The 7,604-nt window shown below is 37.1% G+C and overlaps 1 annotated feature.

The window, feature by feature from the left end:
• Positions 6,658-7,159: an enhancer, noted in NCBI's record as "NANOG hESC enhancer chr18:28881307-28881808 (GRCh37/hg19 assembly coordinates)". NCBI's record gives its function as "activates a minimal SCP1, AML or CMV promoter by ChIP-STARR-seq in primed H9 embryonic stem cells {active_cell/tissue: H9 hESC(primed)}" and the evidence as "EXISTENCE:reporter gene assay evidence [ECO:0000049][PMID:30033119]".

Raw genomic sequence — 7,604 nt, forward strand, 5'->3', positions numbered from 1 at the left:
TAGAGAAAGCAAAAAAAAAAAAACTAAGGCTTTAATTTTCAGAAGGCACTTAACTAGGGAGGAATTTGGATGCTATGGGACAGTCATGTTTAATCCCTTTTGTTTTTTTACCATAACCCATCACAAGAAATACCTTTTACACTCTTACCAAGTGTATATACCTATACACTGAAGAAAACATAAATTAATATAACACACCAGAGGAAGGAACCAAATACACCAAATATATCATATGCAAAATTAATTCCTGTGAATTCAACCACACATTTGAAAAACAATGGGAATTTAGATAGGATGCATGTACTTTAATATATTATGTATATTTCAGTGTTGTAATTATAATAGCCAACACTTATTCAGCACTTGCTCTGTGCCTGGCACATATATTAAATCACTTAATTCTCCTAACACTATGTGGTAGGTGCTGGTATTAGTCCTATTTTATCAATAAGGAAGCTGAGGTACAGAAAGGTTAAATAACTTTCCCGGGGTCACATAGATGGAAGTGATTGGACCAGGGTTTAAACCCAGGCTGACACACTCCACGACTACTACCCTACCTCCTCCATCAGACATGTGTAACTTTATACCACTACGTAAGTTTATGTTCACAAAGTATATTGTTGTTTGTCGGTAATTTAGAGGTTTTTCTAGGTTTTTATGATCAGAGTGATATTCTGGTTTCATCCATTACCTTATAATCTTACTCTCTGCAAGATGAAATTCACAGGAAACATTCATATTCGACAGACTTTTTTAAATTTTGAAGATGGCATGGGCTCTCTTAGTGCAATAAATTGATGTTAATAATTAGCGTATTCTTTCTAATTAAATATAAAACACTGGAATTATATATTACAATAAGAACCAACTGTGGCAGGGTGCGGTGGCTCACACCTGTAATCTCAGAACTTTGGGAGGCTGAGGCAAGTGGATCACTTGAGGTCAAGAGGACGAGACCAACCTGGCCAATGTAGTAAAACCCCGTCTCACGTAAAAATACAAAAAATTAGCCGGGCATGATGGTGGGCGCCTGTCCCAGCTACTACTACAGTAGGATTACAGTAGCTGTAATCCCAGCTACTCAGGAGGCTGAGGCAGGAGGATCGCTTGAGCCTGGGAGGTGGAGGTTGCAGTGAGCTGAGATCGTGCCACTGCACTCCAGCCTGTGCGACAGAGTGAGACTCTGTCTCAAAAAGAAAAAAAACACACACACACACACAACCAACTATGCAGCAGCTACTCTTAATGCAATTTTAAAATTTCCTTTCTCATAAGAAAATGTACTTATTACAAAAATATTTACTTCCTAGAATCACAACCTGTTAGAACTAAAAGCAGCCACACTTCAACCAACCTACCATTTTTCCTTTGTGAAAAAGAACCCTGAGACCAAAAGACATGACAATTCTTCTCAAGGAACAATTTAATTAAAAATGAACAAAAGATGTTATAAAAATTAACCATAACTTTCTGGAATACTACCAAGAAAAGCTGATTTATAATGTCACAAATGATGTGAAACTTTTAAAAATTAGTTCTTTTCTTAAAGCTTCTGTGTTTGAAATATTAAGAATGCATTGTCTTCAAAAATTAACCATAACTTTCTGGAATACTACCAAGAAAAGCTGATTTATAATGTCACAAATGATGTGAAACTTTTAAAAATTAGTTCTTTTCTTAAAGCTTCTGTGTTTGAAATATTAAGAATGCATTGTCTTCAAAGCTAAGTTCTTTTTTTTTTTTTTTTTTTTTTTTTTTGAGACGGAGTCTCGCTCTGTCGCCCGGGCTGGAGTGCAGTGGCGGGATCTCGGCTCACTGCAAGCTCCGCCTCCCGGGTTCACGCCATTCTCCTGCCTCAGCCTCCCAAGTAGCTGGGACTACAGGCGCCCGCCACTACGCCTGGCTAATTTTTTTTTTGTATTTTTAGTAGAGACGGGGTTTCACCGTTTTAGCCGGGATGGTCTCGATCTCCTGACCTCGTGATCCGCCCGCCTCGGCCTCCCAACAAAGCTAAGTTCTATGTGAATAACTTAAGTTGGTCCAAAGAAATAACAAGTCTGAGTATGAATTTATGCTAATTGGGCACACCTACTCAGAAACAAACAAGTTTAACAAGTTCTCACTGAGAATATACATTTAGCAGACCTATTAATTTACCAAAATAATAGTAATATTGACATAAAGCAACTATACCAGCTCACAGGATAATAAGATAGCAGTGGACATAGGACAATGGTCAAATGCTTCCTGAGTTTCATAAGTTTTATTCTAATTCAACTTAGACATGCCTCATAAGCTGAGTGTGAGGTAGCATTTATGGTTATGGCATTATCTGGGAGGTATATCTAAAGGAACAAATATTTGGTTCGGCAGTAAAAGAAAGACCATTTAGCTTTTAGTAATGTCTCAAATTTCAAAATCATTTTGCGGAATCTAGCCAGGTAATGATTTTCCTGAACATTGGACCGTCAATGAATTTGTGAAGGTGATGCATGCAAGAGTTTCCAAAATCATTTTGAAATTAAGGGCTTACTGTTTAAATCAAATATTTACCCCCAAGTTAGAGAATTTGGTGAATAATATACATATAAATACAAATAAATCATCACTTTGACCCGATACTGCTTTCAGGTAGGGGTCTAGTGAACTTTTGTATGCATCGTTCTCACAAATTCAACAGCTGTCCAATGTTCAAGAAAGCCATCACCTGGCTAGATTCTGCAAATACCATCCTGATGTGTAATAGCCCCTAGTAAGCAACAGGCCCTTAGGTATATAAGCAGTTAGATTGAGAAGATGGATAAGACTGTCACAATCTACTCATTTGCTCAATGCTATCAAGTATTGGCTAGTCCTACACATGACCCAAAATACTAGAGCATCAACTTATGTTTTAGCAAATTTAGATAATCTTCAGTTTTAAATGCCACAACTTTCTGAAATTCAAAGACAATTAAATAAACTAAACTGTATACTCCGTCCTTAAAAATAAGGATGTTTCAAAAGATGGTGATTGATTCATTTCCTAAGAATGCAAAAGAAGTGAACATTTCATGTAAAATATACTTTAAAGTTAGGAGTTAAGGAGGTGTTCAACTACGTTCATTAAATTTGAAAATCTTTTTGTCTGCTATCTCTACTGCAGTAAAATGCATATGGTAGATAATCACACTAACAGAATTTCTGATTTTTTATTACATTTTCACTTTCAGTGCTTATATCCCTTTACTTATTTAAATATAAACAACACTATTTAGGTTTACTGCAATACATTTATTCATTTATGAGCTTTGAAAAGTTTAACAAATTCTTCACAATTTCCCATCAAACATATGATATAAGGGGGTAATTTAAATATGAGATCATGGCATTTATGTGGCCAAAAAACACATGAAAAAAAGCTCAACATCACTGGTCATTAGAGAAATGCAAATCAAAGCCACAGTGAGATACCATCTCATGCTAGTCAGAATGGTGACTATTAAAAAGTCAAGAAACAATAGATGCTGGTGAGGCTGTAGAGAAAGCGAAATGATTTTACACTGTTGGTGGGAATGTAAGTAAGTTCGATCATTGTGCAAGACAGTGTGGCAATTCCTCAAGGATCTAGAACTAGAAATACCATTTGACCCAGCAATCCCATTACTGGGTATATACCCAAAGGAATATAAATCATTCTACTGTAAAGACACATGCACATGTATGTTAACTGCAGCACTATTTACAATAACAAAGACTTGGAACCAACCCAAATGTTCATCAATGATAGACTGGATAAAGAAAATACAGCACATATATACCATGGAATACTATGCAGCCATAAAAAAGAATGAGATCATATCCCCTTGCAGGGACATGGATGAAGCTGGAAGCCATCATCCTCAACAAACTAACACAGGAACAGAAAACCAAACACTGCATGTTCTCACTCAGAAGTGGGAGTTGAGCAATGAGAACCCATGGACACAGGGAGGGGAACAACACACACTGGGGCCAGTCATGGGGTTGGGGGCAAGGGGAGGGAGAGCATTAGGACAAATGGCTTATTTATGCAGGGCTTATAACCTAAATGACAGGTTGATAGGTGCAGCAAACCACCATTGCACATGTATACGTATGTAACAAACCTACGCATTCTGCACTTGTATTCCAGAACTTAAAATAGAATAAAAAATAAAAAAATAGGACAGGGCACAGTGGCCCACGCCTATAATCCCAGCACTTTGGGAGGCCGAGGCGGGCAGATCACTAGGTCAAAAGATAGAGATCTTCCAGGCCAACATGGTAAACCGGGTCTCTACTAAACATACAGGCGGCATGCACTTGTAGTCCTAGCTACTCGGGAGGCTGAGTCAGGAGAATCGCTTAAACCCAGGAGGCGGGGGTTGCAGTGAGCAGAGATTGCGCCTGGTGACAGAGCAAGACTCTGTCTCCAAAAATAAATAAATAAATAAAAATATAAAAAATAAACAAATAAACTCATAATAAGGAGTCTAGGCAGAAACAGACACAAAGGGAAAGTTCCAGACTCTGTGTATCTGGTCATTTTACACCCATTTTTCTTTATGGGCAGGGTTACTTTTTCATATTTGTAATCTCTGCTATTCCCTTAGTAGAGACCCTGCTAACAATAAAGGTTGTATTTGTGAAAAAACAAATAAATAAATAAATATCAGGTCATGGAGCAGATTAGAGGATATCTAAGTTTTTTCCAGTTTTTGTAATAAAAAAGACATTGTGCTGCATTCATTTTTTGCCTGCATTTTTACCTGAAGACAGTATTATTTAGCAAGGTCAATTACATTTTATCTGAAACATTAACATCTTATGTACAAATTAATGAGAAAAATAGAGTCATTACAGAAAAATTAACTTATTCATATATCTTGTTTTTAAATAGTTAATCTCAAAAATACATATCAAGTTTTTATACAATATTCTGTGCCAGATGCAACATATAGTTGTTGTAGGCACTCAGTAAACACCAGTGGAATAAATCAAAGACTATAACATTAAATATTACAAACTAAAAATTCTTTGTGGTTGAAAAAACAATAGTAATAAATTACTCATTATTTGTTTTAAAAACTATGTCTTGGCTCACTTATGTTAGCAGTTTAAATGGTCAGTGGTTCTCCAAGGGTTTGTATTTTTAGAATATGAGAGTCTCCTTTTAAATATTGATTTAGCTTGTGTTTAGATAAAAACCTTTTTACTATATTGTAATATTACTGTTAATATCTACCAAAAAATGACTAAAGCTACAACTAATTTAATTTACATTTTATTAATTTTATTGGATTTTATAAATGAGATGATTTTTATAAATATTTGAAAATTTGAATAGCTACTTGGACATATTTACTATTCATTTACTTTAAATAATGAATGGAAAATATATAAATTTGTATCTATCAATTAATAAGTCTATAAAATTTGATGAGTAAATGTAAGATTTCAGAGGTTCCTTGCAATTATTTCAGCCCTCTAAGCTCCTAGCTTACAGGCTGGGCTCCTCTGACCTGAGGAAAATAAATAATATACCTATAAATACAAAACAGTGCTTGCATTTTCTCCATGAGGGCATCATGCTCTCTGGACTGTGACCTCCTTATGAGTATCTTCACTCCTCAACACCCAGCATAGCATCTGAAACATAATAAGAACTCAATCCATGTTTATTGCATGAATAAATAAATTGTTGAATTTTACTAGTTGGCAGGCCTCTGTAAATTTATTATCCATCACTTTCTCAAGTTATTTTACTACCAGGATCTTTTCTCTGTTATAAGAATTGATGGGTATTCTTTCACCAAGTGAGTGTATGTTGGCTGTGAGTGTGGGTGGAGGCAAGGGTGTTCCGAGGAGCAGGTGGAATTCCTGCTGACACTCAGACCATACTGTAGTGCAGGATTGTGACCTTATTTGTACCACCTCCCTCACAACAAAGAAGGTCTCTGGGAAATGCCCTCTTTAAAGAGGAAGTAACTCTTGAAGTCTAAACTGCATCTTACCAAGGATCCTGGCATGAGGGAACCCTGGCTTAAGCAGAACCTTATTGGATAAGGCCCCATTCAATGTCAAAAAGCCCCTGTGTTTAGAATTAGGCAGAAAGACATGGAGATTTCACAATGGGATATCTAGTCCCATGGAACATTTCCAGATCCAAAAATCTTGTCAATAAAAAGGGCAATCAGAAAAGGAGAATCTTTGGTATGCTGTGAGGAGTTTGCAGCAACACACACAAAACAACAAGCACATATGCACCAACACACACATACAAGGCAACACACACACACAGGCCAAGAACATCCTCTGAGAAGAAGATACATAATAGATAAGCAACAATAATAGGTTGTTAAGCAAATATTTAGAGAGGAATACCTAGCATTTAAGAACATTATTTTAGATTCTGGTTGTATACATAGATGGCTAGGAAACTTTCCCATCAGGGCCCTCATTCTCAACTTGTGCTGAGGAGGAAAAGCTTATCACAGAGCATCCGAAGATGCCTTGCAGGTGAGTAACGTAAACCAACTGTTGAAGGAGCACTGGGAAAGCAGCACTCGGCCTTCAGAAAATAATTCTTTTGTGGGCTGATGTGAGCAGGCCAGTGATGATTGCAAAGCCACCTGCTAGGGTGTGTCCTGGTGAGGAAATGCTGGAGGGAAGAGAATGATAACCCACATGACATACCATTCCTGTGAGGGCCTTTGCAGCCTACTCCACAGCTGGAGAAGGAAGTTCTCCTGTGTCTCCCACTGGAATAAAATAAGGCTGGGCTAATTACAACAAAGCTAACCCCAAGAACAGTCAGCTGCCAAGTCCTGTCTCTTTCAGCTCTCCAGGCTTTGGCTTGCTGAGGATTTGGAAAACTCTGTTTCCTCTAGGATTATGCATTCTCCGCATTCCTCATCTGCAACATCCTCCACATTTCATTAAGACCCATTTCAAATGTTAGTTCCTCTCCAAAGACTTCTCTCACTCTTTAGAACAAATAAGTGTTTTCTCCTACAGAATTTTGTACAAATCTCTATTACAGAAATTGTCACATAACATCTTAATTTACATATATTCCTCCAATAGACTTTGTTTGTTAACCCACATGCCTCACTTGTATTCATATTCTCAGATCCTAGCATGGTGAGTGCTCAATGAACAATGCATTCTGCTTCCATGTTTGTGTGTGTGTTTCTGACTACTTGGCAACTTACACTGAAAGTGTCCAAATTGTCTCTGGCAACCCTTTTTGCAGCAGAGGGATTAGCACTACGTTTTTCGACTTCCATGTTCCCAAAGCAATGTCCCTGTCATCTGCTTCAGGATCTTTAGATAGTGAGAGGCTGAGATTATTTAAGGAGAGAGCAGAAAAGATATCTAAGGATATTAGAGATATCCATAGATACCTCTAATAAAATAAAGACCATCAGGCAACAATCTGGGATTTGGAAAATTAATATCATCAGGCTCAAGTGGCTTCCAGTGGCTATAAGACCATTCATAACCATATATCTGGTTTTATCTCTCACCACTTCCCTTCATACACGTCATTTCATCTCAATTGCACTATCTGAAGTTATACAAACTCACCAAGATTTCTC

Source organism: Homo sapiens, chromosome 18, assembly GCF_000001405.40.
Source record: "Homo sapiens chromosome 18, GRCh38.p14 Primary Assembly".
In the NCBI taxonomy this organism is placed as follows: domain Eukaryota; kingdom Metazoa; phylum Chordata; class Mammalia; order Primates; family Hominidae; genus Homo; species Homo sapiens.